The following is a 20,822-nucleotide window of genomic DNA, read 5'->3' as shown; positions in this document are numbered from 1 at the left end:
ACTGTGCCCGTCCACGAGTGTGTTTGTTGACTGGAGGGATGTTGAGCTTCAAAGTCCAAGTGAATTAAATCAGTTTCAGTCCCCAGACTACCTGCCTTGGTAATTATGGTGTCGGCCACAGGCAGTGAGTGGGAGGAGGCCTGGTGGTGGGTTTTCAGGCAGGCCCAAAGGACATGGCCTAGCGGCTTCCTAGTTTCCTTTGAGAAATCTTGGTCCTTGCATTTGGCCTGCCCTGGAGTCAGTTCTCATTTCCTTTTGCCCAAGGTCCCTATGAGCAGGTATTTGACCCTCTTTTCCAGGCTCTGAGTCACTACCATAGTCCACCATGGTTTGCTTCCTTTTTTACCCACAGCCCTGTTCATTATTCCATCCTTGCAGGCTCACTTCCTGCCTCTTCTACTCCCTGAGGACCCCTTCTCCTAGGAAACCCAACTGCCACCTGTCCTATTACCGCAGTTTCTTTAGTGACTCACCCCAGCCCCAAAGACCTTGGTTGAATCACAAGTGTTCTCTGTCCCAAGGCAGCATCTCATCCTGAGTTAGGTTCCTTGGCATCTGTGTTCTATCAGCCATGAGCCCCTGATGGGTCTGGGGACCTGAGGTGGTGCAAGTGGCAAGGGGCAGAATGGAGGTGGGGCCATAGCTGGCAAGCTCTGCCTAGCAGGTGCCCACACCTCTCATAATCTCCAGAATCTCAGGGTCCTAGTCACCATAGTATGTGCTGTCCACTCTGATTCTGATGCTGCTTGGGTGATCTTGTTCCATTTGCTTCATTTTTTACTTCTCTATTCCAGGTCTTCCATTCCATTTTATTTTTTACAGTAATTTTAGACTTACAAAAAAGTTACAAATATAGTACAAAGATTTCCCATACACTCTTCACCTACCTTCCCCAAATATTAAGATCTTACTACCATAGCACAATTGTCTACATCAAGAAATTAACACTGGCACACCACTATTAATTAAACTACAGAGGCCAGGCATGGTGGCTCACGCCTGTCATCCCAACACTTTGGGAGGCCTAGGTGAGCGGATCCTTGAGTCCAAGAGTTTGAGACCAGCCTAGGCAACATAGGGAGACTCCATCTCTACCAAAAAAATAAAAACTAGAAAAGTAAACTATGGGCTTTTTTGAGTTTTACCCCTTTTTCTCCCACTCATGTCCTTTTTCTGTTCCAGGACCCCACATTGCATTTAGCAGTCCTGTCCCCTTAGTCTCTCATCCGTAACAGTTCTCAGTCTTTCAGCTGCTTCGTCCAGGTCCCCTCAACTTAAGAATGGGTGTGGTGGCCGGGCGCGGTGGCTCACGCCTGTAATCCCAGCACTTTGGGAGGCCGAGGCGGGCGGATCACGAGGTCAGGAGATCGAGACCATCCTGGCTAACACGGTGAAACCCCGTCTCTACTAAAAATACAAAAAATTAGCCGGGCGTGGTAGCGGGCGCCTGTAGTCGCAGCTACTCGGGAGGCTGAGGCAGGAGAATGGCGTGAACCCGGGAGGCGGAGCTTGCAGTGAGCCGAGATGGCGCCACTGCACTCCAGCCTGGGCGACAGAGCGAGACTCCGTCTCAAAAAAAAAAAAAAAAAAAAAAAAAAAAGAAGAATGGGTGTGGTGTGTGGGGAAATGGGTCCACTCAGCTTGGTTTTGGAGACAGGACAAGAGATAGGGTTGGCCTTGGGCAGGGTGAGTTTTCCTTAGGGCAGTGTGAACTAGGAAACTTCTGCCATATTCCCTTTTGCCTGGGGTAAAGGATGATGCTGCTGATAAGAAGTTGTATCTGTGTGCGTGACCACAGCCCACTTTCTCACCGTGAGCTGGGGAGCCCAGGGTGTTCCCCCTGAGGACTCCCAGTCATGACAGTTCTATTAAACTTTGGGCTTGTCTCCCTAAAAGCTCCCTGGCATGGGGTAGGTGGCCCTGCTGTGCTGAATAAGACCGCCTGCCTATGGGAGGACAGTGTAGAAGACACACGCCTCATGGGACCCTGGTGTGGGCATTGCTGTAGGGGGTGGATCTAGCCCCCTCTGACTGCAGAGGGGTCTGTGTCCAGTCAACATCATGGCCAAGCTTTTCTAGGACTGGAAATTAGGAAGAGACTGAGACAATGTCAAGATTAATGACTGGGGACCAGGCCCTCTTACTGTCCTGCAGGACAGCAGTGGACCTAAGGTAGAGCTGACCCCAAACTCAGGTGTGTACATCACGCAACTGCAGTCTGCAGAGCTGCCACAGATGTCACCTGAAAAGCCCAGGCTGATGACACAATGGATGCTCCACTACTTCTCCTGGGGGTCTGCAGCCTGTTCTTTCACTATTGGGCAACACATTCTTGCTGACACTGCCACCATGAAAAGCCGTTTGCCTGCTCACTGGAGGGGTCAGTGCTGGTCTAAGGTCCTCTAGGAAAGGTCAGTGTGTCAGGGGCCTGGTGCACGAGAGGAACTGAGAACCCTGTTCACCCCTTACAGGCAGGGGAAGAAGCAGAAGCAACAGGTGCTTGAGCCTTTGGACACTGAGGCCAGTGGTCTAACCCCTAGGGGCTGTCCCACTTGCTTTGGACAGTTGAGTCCTTCCACTTTGATAATCTCTTGGGCAGCAGGTTAAACTGTTTGGGGAGCTGGGTGCAGTGGCTCACGCCTGTAATCCCAGCACTTTGGGAGGCCGAGGCAGGCGCGTCACCTGAGGTCAGGAGTTCGAAAGCAGCCTGGCCAACATAGTGAAACCTTGTCTCTACTAAAAATACAAAAAATGAGGCTGGGCATGGTGGCTCACACCTATAATCCTAGCACTTTGGGAGGCCGAGGCTGGCGGATCACTTGAGGTTAGGAGTTTGAAACCAGCTTGGCCAACATGGTGAAACCTCGTCTCTATTAAAAAAAAAAAAAAAAAAAATTAGCTGGGCGTGGTGGTGGATGCCTGTAATCCCGGCTACTTGGGAGGCTAGGAACAAAAGAATTGCATACCCGGGAGGCAGAGGTTGCAGTGAGCTGAGATCGCACCATTGCACTCCAGCCTGGGTGACAGAGCAAGACCCTGTCTTAAAACAAACAAAAAATGTTTTGGCCATTGTGATCCTGTAACTTGGGGAAGGGAAGACTGAGAGGTTGGAGACTGTCAGGGGGTAGAGAGGATGTCACTGGCCAGGGAAGAGGGGATGGATGATGCAGAAGTCAAAAACTGGTAGCTCAAGCACTGAAACTGGTCCTGCTGTATTTTTAAACAATTGAGCAAACATGGAAAGATCAGATTCCACCCCAAACTCCACATTTCTGGGTTCTCTTACAAAAATCACAAGAGTTTGCATTCTCACATACCATCAACTGGCCGAAGCAGAATAGGGGCACCCCCTGTAGTCGGGGGTGGATGTCCCAGTTTTGCAGTCACACACTCCAATATTTGCCCTAAGCAGAGGGTCACTGACATTGACCACAGTACTTGCTTTGTTTTCCTTATGGTTAAAAACAGTTTCCCTCCTCGTCCCTGGGGCACTGGGGTTGCAGTGGGCCTGTGTTTAATCAAGGTACATGCGGGAGTCTATTTTGAAGCTGAAGAGAAAGAGGGGGGTTGAATAGCAGTGGGGCTTGAGGTGAACCCCAGGAAGAAGAGAGAATAGTAGTGGGGTTTGAGGTGAAGCCCATGCTGACTAGGAGGGCTCTGAAACACAGGTGGAGGGAGGAAGGCGAGGGGTCCCAGACCACTGCTCAGGAAGGTTCTAGTGATGAAGGAGCCAAGATCAGACCAGGCCTTAGAAGGCAGAGAAGATGCCTTCATTTTTATTCAGAATTGAAATAATCAACAGCTTAACTTCTTTGGCCCAATTTCTGGGTGTGGCAACTTTAAGGGGCAACCTTAAAGGGGCCTCAGGTTTGGGCAGTGGAAGACTCAAATGGAGAACCCGAACACCCCATTCTCTGCACTCAGACCAGGACAGCTTTCATCCATCCGCTCAGGGCTCCTACACACCTACCCTGGGCTTGGGGATAGATCTGAACCCTTATCTTGCTCCATCCTGTCTTCCTCAAAATATGTCGTGTGGCAGGCTGTAACATCAGCACTGTCATCAAACAAGCCTGGGGCCTCACAAGGGCACTGGAAAGATGATTTTTTTTCTTTTTTTTGAGACAGAGTCTTGCTCTGTCACCCAGGCTGGAGTGCAGTGGCACGATCTCGGCTCACTGCAACCTCTGCCTACTGGGTTCAACCAATTCTCCTGCCTGCCTCAACCTCCCAAGTAGCTGGGACTACAGGCATGCGCCACCACGCCCGGCTAATTATTATATTTTTTAGTAGAGACAGGGTTTCACTATGTTGGCCAGGCTGGTTTTGAACTCCTGACCTCAAGTGATTCACCCGCCTCGGCCTCCCAAAGTGCTGGGATTACAGGCATGAGCCACTGTGCCCGGCCAGAAAGATGATTGTAAAAATGGACTGGGTGGTCTGAAGGAAGGGCAAGGAAGACCCATTTGCTGGTTTTGTTAAAGAAAAAAAAAAAAGTACATATAATGCCTGGATTTGCCTTTGGGAGGGAAATCCTGCCCAGTCCCTCTTTCTTCCAGGCATGGAATCCTAGGCTGTGGGATAATGAGCACAATGCCAAGTGTCAGCTGGACAGAGAGGAAGGGCATGAGGGATGGGCTTTGGTGCACATGACGCTGGGGACAGTAGAGGACAGAGGAGGAACTACACATGTGGGGCCCCTACCCTTGAGCTGCACCCAGATTTTCATCAAGGGCCCATCAGGATCAGGTGTCTGTGGGAGCCTCTTGCCTAGGGTGAGCTTAGACTGCATCACACCTTCAACAGTTCCCCTGCAACTCTCAAATAATGGATAGGTTAAAGCCAGAGGAGGGTTAATTTGCCCACAAGTCTTTCTGTGCTTTCCTTGTGCCATCACTCAGCTAGGCAGAATACATTCTCTCGCTCTTAGCCATCCCAAGGGAGGCAGAGATGATCAGACATAACTTTTGAACCCCCATCTCACTGGAGAAGGGAAATCCTACATGGGAAATGCTCATCCTGCCCAACTTGGGGCTGGCACCTTCATTTCCAAATGATGCTGGGGAGTCAGGTCAGTTTCTGTACTGGAAGCATAAAGCACATGGCTTGAAATCAGCTCCCAGGAAAGGATCATTCTTTGTGCCTGAGAGCAAAGCCAAGGGAAACGTGGCAAAAAGAGGTCACTTTGTTAATATTCCCCTTCTCTCCACCAATCCCCTTATTCAGAATGCAGCAAGGCAGTTTTCTAGTCATGCAGTCCACGCATGAGGAATAAATACACCTCATGTCTTCCACCTGCTGCCAGTGCGGTGATGAGATGCAGAGCTGAGGGGCTGAGGAAGAGGCTTCTGTGTCAAGGTAGATTCAGCTGGTGGTCTAGTATTGCCCAAACGACTTCCGTAGGGATAGGAAAGGCCCCTGCTTGTTAACAAAGAAGAGGGAAAGGGCAGAGAACCTGGATCCATCTGAGATCTGTGGGCTTTTTACTTTTTCAGCCATTTGAGGGTTGACTGGCTCTAAGGAAAAGCTGTTTGCTGGCAGACACAGGTGGCTGGTGACAAAGGGAACAGAGCAGGGGAATGGATAGCTCAAAACGAGCCTCGCCACTCCTGAACAGAACAGCAATCCCAGCTGTGTCCTTTCGAGGGTGAGTGAAAGCACATGCTGTCCTTTACATGCTTGAGGCGGACTTGCCTGTCTCTTCAGGCCGGATGCTCTTCAGGGCCCTGTGGGGCTTAAACACATGTACTGAGCTAGCTCCAATCTTAATCTGCACAACATCGCAACCCCTGAGTTCCTATTAGTTCTGCAAAACAAAGCAAAACAAATCCCCACCAAAATTTCAGATTTGTAGCATCTGCTAAAACCAAAAGGCACAATCAACTTCTTGTCCTCTCTGGGTTACTGGGCAGGCGATATAGAAGGAACCAGTATCTGTGGCCAGAGTCCTCTATCGGGTGCAGCTGGGCTCCAGGCCTCTCTAGCTGCCAAGCCCTCCCAGGAACCTGCCTCGCCCTTCACTTTGGGAAGGGACCTTGGCCCTTGGGGAAATGCATTGTTGCCAGACTGTAGCCTTCTGGAGGGGACTGAGCCAAGGCCCCATTGGCTCTCCTCTCTAAGCTTCTTATTAATGGGCTCTGAGGCCAATGCCTTCCTCCAGGGGTTGGGGAGGTGGGTGGAAGAGCTAAGTTGCTGGCTGAGGTCACTGCTGTAACTTGGCTCTTCGTATCTGCTTTGTGTACAGGCAAAACTGGCTTACAGAAGAAAAAGGCAGGAACACCTGCATTGGGCCCTGGCCCTTGGAGGTGCTCTGGGGGCTCGTGCCAGTGTCATGAGGTATATGTGGCCGCGGCCCCTTTTGGGCATGTGGCTTGGGTTTGCCGAGGGTCAGGAGGGCAAGGTCCTACCTTGGTCCCAGTGTGGATCGCTCTGAGAGACCACAGCTCCCTCCTCTGGAGTCCCCTCTCCGAGCTCTCCAAGGGAAAAGACAAAGGAAGCCGAACTGCCAAGTTGAAGATTTTGCCTCAGGCAACTAAATTTATTAGCAAGAAAAAATTTTTGTCAGCCCAGTGCTGACCAACAAAGTACGTTAATAAAGGATAACAAATCTGTCACTTAATTCATAAAACATACCTCAAGCAGTTACAACTAAAAATAAAGTTGGATTTTTGTTTAATTTAAAAGCCTCAAAAATAACAAGCAATGTGTTTTTAAACATGTAGTAGACACAATTGTCTATTATACAATATACACTGTACACAAGTAGAGCTTGGGCCGGGCAGGGGTGAGGTGAAGGGAGAGGGAGGAGGTGCAGGATGTGCAGGTGCTGTTATCTGAATCCAGATTTGAGTTTAAATGCTGTGTCATTTAGAAAAGGGAATTGCTAGAGTGAGAAAAAATTCATATGCTCATCATTGCCCCCAACCCTCAACTGAAAGCAGGCATCAGGGAGGTGAATAACAAGGAAAGGAAGAAGGGAGCAATTAAATAAAACTTCTTTAAAGCACACACAGTACACAGTGTTCATCATCTGAAGTAGAGTATAAGGCAACGTTCTCCATAGAAAAAGAGGGGGATCAGGAGTCGGTGGGTGTCTTTACTTTTTAAATAGAGCTGGAATGTGCTGGAGGAGAGGTTGTGGCGGGGCTGGGCACATGGAGTGGAGGTGGCCCCGAGTTTCTCCAGAGGTGGGTGCCAAGCCCCAGGGCGTCCACAGTGGCCGGCAGGGCCAGGGAGGTGCAGGAGAGGGGGCATGGCATGACGCGACTCCGGCAGTGTTGGGAGCGGGGATCGGGGTGGGGGGTAGGGGCTCACTTTGCTCCTCGACGGAGTGAAATGCATGTTTTTCCTTTGGAAATAAGGGTTCCCACGCGTCCTGGTTTAGAACGTCTCATTGGGCACGGCCAGTGTCCACAGTCTGGGCAGGCCGGGAGCTCGTGGTGAGGGGAAGGGCCAAGGCAGAGCCAAGGGGCTTCAGAAGGAGGACAATACAGGGAACAGAGCCCCTTCCTGTGGGGACAGTTGCAGAACAGGAGTGGGGCTGAGGGCAGGCCCAAGGCAGCCACAGGGCTCCTTTCCACCAGGGGCCCAGGGAGGACACAGGTGGGGGACTGCATCTTCAGGGCCTCCCGCCGCAGTTGGCCTTACAAGTTCTTCGTGACCAGGTGGGTCTTGTAATGCTTGGTGAGGTGGTCACTCCTCATGAAGCGCTTCTGACACTGGGCGCACTCGAAGCGTTTGTCCCCTGGGAAGAGGAGATGCCCATCACCCACAGACCCTGTGCACAGACCCTGTCTCTGCCCAAAAAGGTGGGGTGCGTGTGAGGTGCACCCAATCAAGCTGACATGGCCTTGTCACCACATTCTGCCCACCTCCTGCTCTCACATTTGCTCACTGGTGCTTACTCATCTATATCTTTTTTTTTTTTTTTTTTTTTGAGATGGAGTCTCACTCTGCTGGCCAGGCTGGAGTGCAGTGGCACAATCTCCACTCACTGCAACCTCCACCTCCCAGGTCAAGCAATTCTCCTGCCTCAGCCTCTCAAATAGCTGGGACTACAGATGCCCGCCACTGCACCCAGCTAATTCCTGTATTTTTGTAGAGACAGGGTTTCGCCATGTTGTCCAGGCTGGTCTCGAACTCCTGACCTCAAGTGATCCGCCCACCTTGGCCTTCCAAAGTGCTGGGATTACAGGCACGAGCCATCATGCTTGGCCCCTACTCATCTAAATCTCTTTATCAATTCTCATTTCTCTCTGACCCCCCATTTGACCTCTCCAGTCTATTTCGTTCCCATTCCTTGTCCCTGGAGCCTCTGCACCTAAGAGTCTTCCTGTGCAAGGCTGTCTGCCTGCTTTCTTCTTTTGTCCCTCTGACTTTGAACCTGGATCAGCATCCTCCCCATCACAGGAAAATCCCCCTCCACCCTGACCTTGCCAGCCCTGAGCACTCAGTTGGAACCATGTTGACCCCAACTGCTTTTCTGTGGAGTGTTGACTCCTCTGCCTTTTGGGGAGTAGGACCTGTCCCACCACACTGGCCAGGAGCCGGAGCTCTGGGTCACGCTTCCCTCAGCCCTCTAGCCCCAGGACAGGTGTCTGCTCACTGTGGGCATTCACTATAGCACTGTTTGCCAAAGTGTATGTGTGGACCACTGTGGATACCCAGGACAATTTCAGGTGGTAGATGTATAATCCTTTTTTTTTTTTAAGAGATGGGCTCCCGCTATATTGCCCTGGCTGGTCTCGAACTCCTAGGCTCAAGTGATCACCTGCCTCAGCCTCCCAAAGAGCTGGGATTACAGGTGTGAGCCACTGTGCCCAGCTTGGATCAATATTTTTAATAGTTTTGCATTGATTTGCTAGTACCTAAAACTATAACTGTGATATCTCACTTTGGGAGGCAGAAGAGGGAGGATCATCTGAGTCCAGGAGTTTGAGACCAGGCTGGGCAACACAGTAAGACCCTGTCTCTAAAAAAATTTTAAAATTAGCCAGGTGTGGTGGTGCATGCCTGTAGTCCCAGCTACTCAGGAGGTTGAGGTGGGAGAATCACTTGAGCCCAGGAGTTCAACACTACAGTGAGCCAAGATTGTGCCACTGCACTCTAGCCTGGGTGAAAGAGTGAGACCCTGTCTTAAAAAAAAAAAAAAACAAAAAGCCATGGCAGGGCCTGGGTGTGAACCTGGCCGCACCAGTCACTAGCTGTGTGACTGGGCCAGCTCTCCATGCCTCAGTAAAATGGGCATCAACAGGCCGGCGCAGTGGCTCACGCCTCTATTCCTAGCACTTTGGGAGGCCAAGGTGGGTGGATTACCTGAGGTCAGGGGTTCGAGACCAGCCTGGCCAACATGGTGAAACCCCGTCTCTACTAAAAATACAAAAATTAGCTGGGTGTGGTGGTGGGTGCCTGTAGTCCCAGCTACTTGAGAAGCTGAGGCAGGAGAATTGCTTGAACCCAAGGGGTGGAGGCTGCAGTGAGCTGAGATCGCACCACTTCACTCCAGCCTGGGCAAAAGAACGAAACTCCATCTCCAAAAAAAAAAAAAAAAAAAAAAAAAAAAGGCATAAACAAAGTATCTTCCCATAAAGTTCTTACCAGGATCAACTGAGGTAATCAGTAAAGTGCTTAGTACTGTGCTTGGCATACCATGTCAGTGTTTGTTAAATAACTATGCTGACATGGCAAAAGTTATCAGGTTGTGTCATGCAATGACAACTATTCCTTTCCCATTACTTGGGGAAACAACAGTGATAACAGAATGGCTTGAAAATAATTTCCTATGTCGTCCCTAGATAGTCTGTAGCTTTTGCTCAGTGTGGCAGTTCCAGGAGTGTCAATGTTGCTAAAGCCGGTAGAGTGGGGGTGGGAGGAGAGGCAGGAATTTGACCTCTGTGGGTGGAGGGTCCCGAAGGCAGGGGGCTGACCTGTGTGGGTGCGAGCATGCCGTTGGAGCTCGTCACTCCGTGTGAACCTCTTCCCACAGAAGAACCAGTTGCAGACAAAGGGCCGCTCGCCAGTGTGCAGGCGCACATGGGCACGCAGCAAGGACGTCTTACGGAACGTCTTGCCACAGTCGGGGATGTGGCACACGTGCTTCTTCTTGCCCTGCTCTCCAGACCTGAGAATTGGGGTGAGGGTGGAGTGGAGGGAATAGGAAGAGGAGAGAAAAGCGGTAGAGGATGGGGCAGGAACAGGATGCAGTGAGGATGTGGGGTCAGGTCAGAGAGCACAAGGAGGCAGGGGGCAAGGTGGCACAGAGCTGCCAGCTCTTCCTTGCCTGGTCTGTGCCAGCTTGCAGCTCTGGACAACTGTCCAGGAGGGGCTTGGGGAACACAGGCCAGCCTTGTGGCTTGGGCCTTCTCCTTGAATTACCTCTTCTCCCCATCCTTGCAGTTGGGACACGTGCAGGCCATGCGGCGCCGCTTCTCCCCGGGCTGGGTCTCTCCGGCCAGGGCTTGTTCCATTTGCAGCTGGATCTGGGTGGGGCTCAGCCCACTGATGGTCAGGTTGTTCCCAGAAACATTCTGCACTGTCAGCTGCTGCTGCCCTGTGGGGACAAAGAGGGGCAGAGTTCAGGGTGAGGAAGCCTGAAACCTCGAGTCAACCCTTCTGCCCTTCTGCACATGACAAAGATGATAATCACAGCAGCTATTTTTGAGAGCCTGCTGTATGTTGGATATCATTTTAAGGACCTTTGTACAGGGACTCATTTAATCTCCATGACCCTATAAAATAGGTACTATCATCAGCACTTTACAGATGAAGAAACTGAGGCTCAATAACATATCAAGATCACACAGCTAGTAAGTGGTAGAACCCAGATCTGAACCCAGGAAGCCCATTTCAAAGTCAGTGCCCTGAACCACTGTACTATGTAGGCAGAATTTGCTTTAGAATATTGCCAACATGATTTCAGCTGGGAAGGGTCTTAAGACATTTCTTCCTGAATCTCCTCCAACCTTAGGCCCCTGTGAGATACCAACTCTGCTTTTAGGAAAGTCTCCAGGGATTTCTGTTAAAAAGACAAGAGGTCACAGGCTAGGTACAGTGGCTCATAGCTGTAATCCCAGCACTCTGGCAGGCAGGACAATTGCTTGGGCCCAGGAGTTCAAGACCAGCCTGGGCATATAGGGAGACCCCCATCTCTACAAAAAACTAAAAAATTGGCCGGGCATGGTGCTACATGCCTGTAGTCCCAGCTACTCAGGAAGAAGAAGTAGGAGGACTGCTTGAGCCCAGGAGGCTGAGGCTGCATTGTCATGATCGTGCCACTGCACTTCAGCCTGGATGACAGAGCGAGGCCCTGAGGCCATGTCTTAAAAAAAAAAAAACCAAAAAACACAAAAGAGGACACAGTTCTATGGGCTTTGGGAAAAATCAGATCCTCTAGGATGCCTTATCCTCTTGGGGGTCACCTCAAGAGGGAAAAGCAAATGTGTTAAAGTGCTAAACATTCATTAAGGATGGGCTGGGCACGGTGGCTCACACCTGTAATCCCAGCATTTTGGGAGGCTGAGGCGGATGGATCACCAGGTCAGGAGTTCAAGACCAGCCTGGCCAAGACGGTGAAACCCCATCTCTACGAAAAATACAAAAATTAGTCGGGCGTGGTGGTGGGCGTCTATAATCCCAGCTACTCGGGAGGCTGAAGCAGAGATCGCACCACTGCACTCCAGCCTGGGCGACAGAGTGAGGCTCTGTCTCAAAAAAAAAATTCATTAAGGATGAAGAGAAATTCAGAGAGCTCCCCCTACATAAGGAGCCATTTTTGCTAGGTTGCTCCAATTTTTCCTTTGGTTATTTGCAAGGCTGGTTTCACAGCATAAATCTCACCACTGAACTGAAGTGCAGCACAAACTATTCTGACTGCCAGGGCTCCCTTCTTTTCTTCCAACCTTAACGCAAGGCTTTCTCCTTCAAGAAGCCGTCTTTGCGTTTGGATGTCAGTTGGAAAGTTTTCCGAGTACATCTATCTTCTCTGTCTTCAGCTGTCAGATGGGGACATGTGCCTTAAACTATCTCTGAGTGCTATTGTAAGGACTAGGTGAGAAGCTGCAGGTGGACGTACCCTTAAGCTATGATGGACAGCATCCTCACTATTGTTACTGGAAATCCCGGGGCCAGCCCATAGTTTCCACCTGCTAGGAGCAGGTACCACTGCCAACACCCTGGCCACAGGGGCCATCCTCACCGCCTGTGTTGGTGATGGTGACAGGCACGCCCTGGACCTGGACACCATTGATGTTGATGGTCTGCATTGCCTGGGCAGCTGCCGCCAACTGGGCTGCATTCAGGCTGATGATGCTCCCGGCTGGGGCAATCTTTGGCAGGGGACGCTCTTTTCGGAGAATTGCAGCTGAGTGCTTTTTGCTGGTCCCACTCAGATGGGGAGCACGGGATGCAGGGCTGCTACAGGTGGTGTTAGAGGTGGCTGCAGCTGTTGCTGGGGGGCTGTCCTGGACAAGGACTGTCTGCACCTCACCGGAAGGCGTGCGGATGTAGACCTGGGAGGGGCCAGAGAAAAAAAATCAGTGCCTGGAAGAGACTAGGTTCCTGGGGCCTTCAAATGTCCCTGCCCAAGTGAGAACTGGGGGCGCCTGTCCACTAAAAGTCTCTTCAATTCACCCAAACCTACATTTATACACAGCTAATGCTCGACAAATGGCTGCTGGCATCCTATACTAAGCTGGCGAATGTTGACTATTGATTTGAAACCAAACGTTGAATTTACTTAGCATGGAAAAAGTAATTGCCAAGAATCAGAATTGGAGATTTAGAAGGCAGTGCACTGTGAATGACCATCAAACAAATGACACAGGTTCACTTTAGTTTTTAAGAGCCACATTTTAGAGCCCAGGAATTCCAGGTTTTCATAAGCTATGATTCCTCTACTGCACTTAGCCTGGGTGACAGAGCAATACGCTGTCTCAAAAAAAAAAAAGTTTCTGGTCTTTGTTATCAGAAAAAAAAAAAAGAGCCACATATTAATGAAAAACAACTTTTCTCCAATTCAGATTGACAAACATGGAAAATAAAATATGCTCATTGTTGGTGAGACAGCAGGAAACAGACACTTGTATATTAGGAGTGGAAGTATGATGTGGGCTAAACTTGCTGGAAGGAAATTTGGGGATATGTATCAAAAACCTTAAAAATACGCAAATTAGAGGCTGAGCAGGACAAGGAGGGCATTTGTAGCGGGGAGGAGGGTGTCCGTGGTGGGTAGGGAATGGCGGTGGCAGGCTGAGGAGGGTGTCTCTATGGGAGAGCTAATGGCTGTGGGAGACTGGCTGCATACCGAGGACTTATCCAGAAAGGAAGCATGTTAAGGATAATAGGAGTGAGGGCTCTCACTGTCACAGAAGGGAGTTATGGAAAGGGAGAAGGCTAGACGGAACACTGTGGTGCTAGATGGGAATTAGAGACATTGGTGGAAACTCATGGGTTTCAATATATATAGACAGAGAAATATAGATTCAAATGTGTGTATATGTGTATGTGTATACATGTGTGTGTGTCCTTATATAAGTTTATCTACATCTATCTACGTAGACATTGCATAGGTATGTCTATTTATATATACTTCCTAGCTGTGTCCATTGAGAAGGGCTGGGACCAGCCATGCCCAGTAGCAATGAGCTTACCTAGCACCCAGGCCTTAGCTTGTAACTCACATGCTCCACTAAAAGGAACCCAGGCTCCTTGGAGAAATAGCTGATTCCAGGGTTGGGGCAGGGAAGGTACAAGGAAAGCTTGGAACACTTGCACCAGAAAGTAAAGAAATGCTTACAGAATGGTGGGGACTTGAAAAGATACAAGCCAGCTTAAAGGGGCACCCACTGGCCAAATCTAGGTCAATGAAAACATCAAAATAATCTTAACAGATTATAACCCAGTGAATAAAACAGGAATCTGGCTGGGTGCAGTAGTTCACGCCTGTAATCCCAGCACTTTGGGAGGCCAAGGCAGGCGGATCACTTGAGATCAGTGGTTCAATACCAGCTTGGTCAACTTGGTGAAACCCCGTCTCTACTGAAAATACAAAAAAAATTAGCCGGGAGGGATGGCGCACGCCTGTAATCCCAGCTACTGGGGAGGCTGAGGCAGGAGAACTGCTTGAACCTGGGAGGTGGAGGTTGCAGTGAGTCGAGATTGTGCCACTGCACTCCAGCCTGGGTGACAGAGCGAGACTCCATCTCAAAAAAACAAAAAAGCAGCAATCCGTGAGTCCATAATGACATAAATAAATAAATGGGGGAGGAAGACAATGACAGAATTAAAAAGAGGCAATCACATCCTTCAATGAGAGGAACCAGGAATCTGAGAAGAAATGGTTGACCCTAAGGCTGAGGTTGGGAAAATATAAGGAATGAAGTTCAGACACATGCTACAACAGGATGAACCTTGAAACATGCTAAGTGAAGGAAGCCAGTCACCAGACACATGCTACAACATGGATGAACCTTGAAAACATTACAAATAGACCAGTAGTTGTCAGGGGCTGCAGAGAGGAGGAAATAAATGGGGAGTGATGGCTAAAGGGTAGAGAGTTTCTTTTTGGGGTGATGAAAATGTTCTAAAATTATATAGAGGTAATGGCTGCACAACTCTGTGAATATACTAAAAATCACTGAATTGTATACTTTAAAAGGGTAAGTTTCATAGTATGTGAATGTTTCAGTAAAGCTGATTTTATAAAAAAAAAGAATGAGAGCCTGTCAGAGGGATATAAGAGCCAACCTGAAGGCTGGGTGTGGTGGCTCGAGCCTGTAATCCCAGCACTTTGGGAGGCCGAGGCGGGTGGATCATAAGGTCAGAAGTTCGAGACCAGCCTGGCCAAGATGGTAAAACCCCGTCTCTACTAAAAAAATACAAAAATTGGCCGGGTGCGGTGGCTCATGCCTGTAATCCCAGCACTTTGGGAGGCTGAGGCGGGCGGATCACAGAGTCAGGAGATCGAGACTACCCTGGCTAACATGGTGAAACCCCATCTCTACTAAAAATACAAAAAATCAGCTGGGCATGGTGGCGCTCGCCTGTAGTCTCAGCTAGTTGGGAGGCTGAGGCAGAATTGCTTGAACCCGGGAGGCAGAGGTTGCAGTGAGCCGAGATGGCGCCACTGCACTCCAGCCTGGGTGACAGAGTGAGACTTCGTCTCCAAAAAAAAAAAAAAAATTCAAAAATTAGCAGGGCGCAGAGGCGGGTATCTGTAATCCCAGCTATTCGGGAGGCTGAGGCAGGAGAATCGCTTGAACCCGGGAGGCGGAGGTTGCAGAGAGCCGACCTGAAAAGAGCTGCCAATGGCCAAAGAGAAAAAAAGAGCCGACCTGAAAGAGCTGCCAATGGCCAAAGTTGACCTTTAGCCTTCAAAAGTGTCAAGGTCATGATGGTCAAGTAAAGAATGAGGAAGTCATCCTGGCCAACACGGTGAAACCCTGTCTCTACTAAAAATACAAAAAAAATTAGCCGGGCGTGGTGGCACGCGCCTGTAATCCCAGCAACTTGGGAGGCTGAAACAGGAGAATCGCTTGAACCCAGGAGTTGGAGGTTGCAGTGAGCCAAGATTGCCACTGCACTCCAGCCTGGTGACAGAACGAGACCCTGTCTCAAAAAAACAGAAAAAAAAAAAAAAAAAAAAAAGGAATGACAAAGTGTTTCAGATCAAAAGAGACTAAGGAGACAACTAAACGTAATGTGTAATATTGGATCAGATCCTTTTGCCACAAAGGAATTAGTGGGGCAAGTGGTGAAAACACAGTGGGGTCTTGGAATTAGCAGTGTGTTTCACTGCTAATTTCCTGGGTTTGACGATTGTATTGTGGTAATGTAGAATGTTCTTGTGTGTAGGAATTAAAGCGTTCAGAAATGACAAGGGGGATCATGGTGGCAATTTACACTCAAATGAGTCAAAAGGAAAAAAGTTCTTTGTAAAAAAAAAATCCTGTTGTGATTTTGATTTGGGTAATTTTTAATTCCTGGATTATTTATGACTGTGCTTCTTCTCACTTAAAAGCTAACAAACATCTCATCTCTTTAAAAAAAATTTTTTTTTTTTAAATAGAGACAGGGTCTCTGTCACCCAGGCTAAAATGCAGTAGAATGATCATAGTTCACTGCAATCTCGAACTCATGGGTTCAAGTGATCCTCCCACCTCAGCCTCCTGAATAGCTGGGACTACAGGTGTGTAGCACCATGCCTCACTAATTTTTAATTTTTTTGTAGAGATGGGGTCTTGCTATCTTGCCCAGGCTGGTCTTGAATTCCTGGGCTCAAGCAATCTCTAGCCTCAGCCTCCCAAAGTGCTGGGATTACAGGCATAAACTACCTCACCTGGCCCATTTCTTAGTAAATATGCAAATCTCATTCCCAGTTTTCTGATATGTGCCCCTTTTTCAAATCACTGATATTTTATGTCTGATTTTGTGTGTGTGTGTGTATGCGTGCATGCATGTGTGTGTGTGTATTTGCATCTGAAGGTTCAGCAAGCTTTTTTTATAAAGGGCCGGAGAGTAAATATTTTAGCTTTGCGGGGCATATTGTCTCTGCTACTTAACTGTGCTACTACTGTAGTGCAAGGGCAACACAAATGGACGTGTCTGCACTCCAATTAAACTTTATTTACAAAAACAGGCAGGTGGGCTAGATTTGGCTTCAAAGTTGGTCACAGACTGCAAACCTCTAATATAGAATACAAATTTTTTAAAAATGTACGTGTCCTTGACCCACTTTCAGGGATTTATTTAGCTGTAAGATTGGAAACAGCCTAGATATATACAGTTAACAAGGTATCAGTTGTATAATAATCAGCATGTTGGGATGTTATAAAGCTGTGTAGTCATGAAAAAATAATACTGTAGCTAAATCTTTCTGCATATGTATCATTATTTCCTTAGGGAAGACCTGGGTTTTAGTCCTGTCTCCATCAACCTCAAGAAATGGGACCTCATGGAAGGGAGGGGAGGCAATGCCGAGGATGTGCTCCTGAGCAGGTGCCACAATTCTTCACCTGTAAGGTAGGTCTGATCATGGGAATTCACAGATATTTGTGATAGATGACTTATAAAAAATCACCTGGCAACATAAAATATCACCTGTAGGGTAGGTCTGATCATGGGAATTCACAGATATTGTGATAAATGACTTATAAAAAATACCTGGCAACATTAAATATGCCAGAAGGGTGAATTCCTGTGTGATTTCTATGTCCACAGTTCAAATTCAAAGGCTCTCTTCTCCACCCAGGAAATTACACAACTTCCCACTCTCAGTCATTCGGTTCTTCCTCTATAGACAACTAGGTCATACATTCCTCGATGGCAGGAACTGTTTTTTATATTAAAAAAAAAAAAACTCCTCAATTTTAATGGTAGCACCTGCTACACATAAGACACAAGAGTCAAGGTGGAAGATGGAAGAGTGTGGGGTCTGAAGTTACAAATCTCAATTGACTCCTGGTTCCTGTCATTTATGCCCTATTTGATCTTGGATACTTCATAAATTATCTGAGTTCTGGGTTATCCATCTGCAACATGGGCACAATTACTGGCACTTAGCAGGCATGAACAAAGAATAAAACTTGCCTCACAGAGCCAAAGAGATTCCAGAGTATTAGAGCACATTAATAAATGCCAAAAATAAGAACATTCTTGTTGAATTCAGCATCCCAGTTTGGCAGGAAGCAGTGGCTCAGCCTGGCATGGTGACATACACCTGTAGTCCTGGCTACTCAGGCTGAGGTGGGAGGATTGCTTGAGCCCAGGAGATTAAGACTGTAGTGACCGCATCACTGCACTCCAGCCCGGACAACAGAGTATGACCCTATCTCAAAAAAAAAAAAAACACCCTAAAACAAACAAACATTCCAGATGAATCTAGCCTAAATATTCCTGCTATAAAGCTAGGCTGCTCTTCCTGTTTTTTTCTTGTCATTAATAATGATCAGCATTTTTCTCATTAATTTTCTTACTTTACATAAAATTCTATGAACTGGAATGTTTTCATTCTTGCTAATGTTTTGAGTAATTCTATAATCAAAAATAAGTTATTAACAAGTATGTATCTATCCCCTCACCATCCCCTGAAAAAAAACAACCTATAAGGAAAAGGTGCCAAAATATCCCTATGTTTCATCAATTTCTAAAGATAAGAAGTACTTGGCCCTATGAACTAAAGAGAGCCCATTTGTCAGGTAGAAACGGCCACTTACTGCCCACCCCAAAAGATACTGACTCTCAAGGTCAGATCAAGCTGGGAGATGACCAGCATCATCTTCAAAGCAAGCCAAAAAGAGATAACCAGAGGAGGAGAAGGAGGACAGTACAGGGAGTGTGGTACCTGAGTAGGTGTCGGCTCAGCTGCCTGGATCTGAAAGTTCTGGGAGGGCTTCTGGGGTACAGTGGGGAGGGTGGCAGATGCCGCCTGCACCACCCGCAGAGCCTGCTGGGGGATCTGTACCACCTGCTGCTGCTCGGCCTTGGGGGGCACCACCTGGACCTGCTGGACCACAGCTGGCTGGCCCCCACCAGGGCTCTGAACAATGAGCAGGTTATTTCCTGCCTGGATGATGTTGTCCGCGGTGGTCTCGATCAGCACCGTCTCCACCTGCTCAGCCACAGCCACAGGGGGCTGGGAGGCAGGAAGGCTCTTCTTCCTTGCTTTCTTGTTAGTCTTAGACAGCGGGGTTGGGGGGCTTTCAGTGAGGAGCTGAGTAGGGGCCCCGGTGTCACTGGCGTTCACAAGGTTGTTGACGGGCAGAGTGAGCGTCACATTGCCGCCCCCACCTGTCAGCTTCACCACATTGGCCCCGCTCTGCACGGGGGTGGTGGTCGTACTCGACTTCTGGATGGGGGCTGGCTTGATGGGGACAGGCTTGTGACTGGACGGTGAGGGGGTGATGATGGCTTGGTTGGTGCCAGGGATGATCTGGATCTGGTTGGTGAGATTGGGCTGTACTTGGATGGTTTGGGAATTGCTTGCCTGAATCTGAGGGACCGCCTGGTACTGGATATTGGCATTTGATCGGGTCCCTTTGTTGATCATGGTGGGATTCTGGATAGCGAACACCAGCTGCCCTCCAGGATAGGAGGCGCTCAGTTGTGACCCCTGAATCTGAAGTATATTTCCTTTGGAGGACAAGATTCCAAAGCTATTCTTGCCGGGGCTGAGAGGGAGAGGGGCAGGTTTGATAGGGACAAGTTTCCGCGGTGTGGGCTGTGGGGGAGCAGGAGGTGTCACAGCAGCTTCAACTGCTGGAGGGCCAATTTTGCTACATGTTGCAGCAAGCAGGGCTAAGGGAGATGGCTGGGAGTCCTGCAAAAAAACAGCAGAGAAAAGGAGTGAGACAGGAAGGCCCGCTGCCCGGCCGCCTCTGTCCATGATCCTCTCCTCCTGGCGGCATTCCACGCCAGTCTTCCCCACCTCCGGGGCAGGCATGTTGCCAGTACCCTCCCCTGCTTGGCTGCTGTCTCCCCTTCTCTACTGGTTTCTCCATTAAGTGAGGGAGAAAAGGTGGGCAATGTCTTTCTCAGGAAGGAACCCCTGGCAGCACCCCACAGACAGGGTAAACTAACAGCACGAGCTGACTTCCTACTCTCCGCTGGCCTTGTTTCTAAGGACAGTGAAGCATGTTTGGCTCTCAGATGGAGTTTGTTAGCCCACCCCAGGGACTGAGGGGTCCCTGATTGCTCAACTGAGGAAAGGAGGGAGGAAAAAATGGAGGGGCAACAGGAGGAATAAATACTTCAGTAAAGTGCTTTTTAGTACTCGGAACATGTAACTTTATAGACTGGGGAGGGCTACACTTTCGAGACAATGAGAAAGCCTCTGTTTTCCTTTTCCTTTTTTAGTGAGGTCTGGTGGAAGGAACACAGAGTTTAATCCTTGTTTTTCCCCCTGGCCCAACTGCGGCACCTTAGGTAAATGGCCATAGTTTCTCAGTAAAGAAAATGTGGCTAACTGAACCTTCCCCAGTCTCATAACCTAGGGTATTTATAGTGAGACAGTGAAGAGAGAGTGTTTTCGGTGAGTCTGTCCAGGATGCTGCAGCCCCAAGCCCTCGGAGCCCACTGCCTACTCGCCTGGGTGGTGGAGGCGGCAGGCTGCAGGTAGTCACTGGGACTCACAGCAGCAGTGGCAGCCATGCTGGTCTGTGGATCTGTTGGAAGAAAAGAGATGGAGTAATGTATAAAATGCCCAAAAAGAACGCAAGCCCACTTGCCTCAGATTTTCTTTTTTTCTATTTTTTTTTTTTTGAGACGGAATTTTTGCTCTTGTTGCCCAGGCTGGAGTGTAGTGGCATGATCTAGGCTCACGGCAACCTCCCCCTTCCAAGTTCAAGCAATTCTCCTGCCTCAGCCTTCTGAGTAGCTGGGATTACAGGCGCTGCCACCATGCCCAGCTAATTTTTGTATTTTTAGTAGAGACAGAGGTTTCACAATGTTGTCCAGACTGATCTCGAATTCCTGTCTTCAGGTGATCCACCCGCCTTGGCTTCCCAAAGTGCTGGGATTACAGACATAAGCCATTGCACCCAGCCAGATTTTCTTTTTGCCTCTATTTGTTGCTGCTTCTCCAAGGGAAGTTAATGACTTTTCCCCAGACTTACCCACCCTGGGTTGATAGCCTTACATCTATTTCAGTAGATTACTTTCTCCTCTCCTCTCCTCAGACTCAGCCATCTGAGGCTGTGAGGACAGCTGGTCCTGCTGTCGTTGGACTGCCCCCTCCAGCCACCACAGAGTCTGAGATAACACAAAAATAACCAAGATTATACCAGGACTCTCTTCTGTAACTCAGCTATGCCCTCTCTGCTGGGCACTGC

At 48.9% G+C, this 20,822-nt stretch overlaps 1 protein-coding gene and 1 long non-coding RNA gene across 21 annotated transcripts in view, besides 1 other annotated feature; one reads left to right on the top strand and one right to left on the bottom strand.

Moving 5' to 3' along the window:
• The window catches only part of SP2-AS1 (SP2 antisense RNA 1), a 43,019-nt gene that overhangs the window by 5,937 nt on the left and 16,260 nt on the right, over nt 1-20,822 (top strand). For both annotated transcript variants that reach the window (NR_103857.1, NR_103856.1), the window contains exon 2: nt 16,897-17,016. This is a non-coding gene — a long non-coding RNA (SP2 antisense RNA 1). The remainder of the gene's footprint in view (nt 1-16,896; nt 17,017-20,822) is intronic.
• SP2 (Sp2 transcription factor) overlaps nt 3,737-20,822 on the bottom strand; it is a 35,496-nt gene continuing 18,410 nt past the window's right edge. For 7 of the 19 annotated variants that reach the window (XM_011525139.3, XM_047436570.1, XM_017024968.2 and 4 more), the window contains 8 exons: nt 20,080-20,156; nt 18,338-19,312; nt 12,194-12,506; nt 10,375-10,549; nt 9,927-10,120; nt 7,648-7,744; nt 6,408-6,532; nt 3,737-5,806 (listed from right to left, as the gene is read on the bottom strand). In XM_011525139.3, coding sequence (XP_011523441.2) covers nt 5,766-5,806; nt 6,408-6,532; nt 7,648-7,744; nt 9,927-10,120; nt 10,375-10,549; nt 12,194-12,506; nt 18,338-19,312; nt 20,080-20,142 — 1,983 coding nt within the window. In that variant the 5' untranslated portion in view covers nt 20,143-20,156 and the 3' untranslated portion in view covers nt 3,737-5,765. Of the gene's footprint in view, nt 5,807-6,407; nt 7,745-9,926; nt 10,121-10,374; nt 10,550-12,193; nt 12,507-18,337; nt 19,313-20,079; nt 20,157-20,606; nt 20,743-20,822 lie in introns of those variants that run through there. The other 12 variants (XM_047436571.1, XM_047436572.1, XM_011525143.2 and 9 more) reach the window with 5 other exon arrangements.
• Nucleotides 7,598-8,099: an enhancer, noted in NCBI's record as "H3K4me1 hESC enhancer chr17:46004735-46005236 (GRCh37/hg19 assembly coordinates)". NCBI's record gives its function as "activates a minimal SCP1, AML or CMV promoter by ChIP-STARR-seq in primed H9 embryonic stem cells {active_cell/tissue: H9 hESC(primed)}" and the evidence as "EXISTENCE:reporter gene assay evidence [ECO:0000049][PMID:30033119]".

Source organism: Homo sapiens, chromosome 17 (assembly GCF_000001405.40).
Source record: "Homo sapiens chromosome 17, GRCh38.p14 Primary Assembly".
Classification (NCBI taxonomy): domain Eukaryota; kingdom Metazoa; phylum Chordata; class Mammalia; order Primates; family Hominidae; genus Homo; species Homo sapiens.
This window is presented reverse-complemented; position numbering and strand designations above follow the sequence as displayed.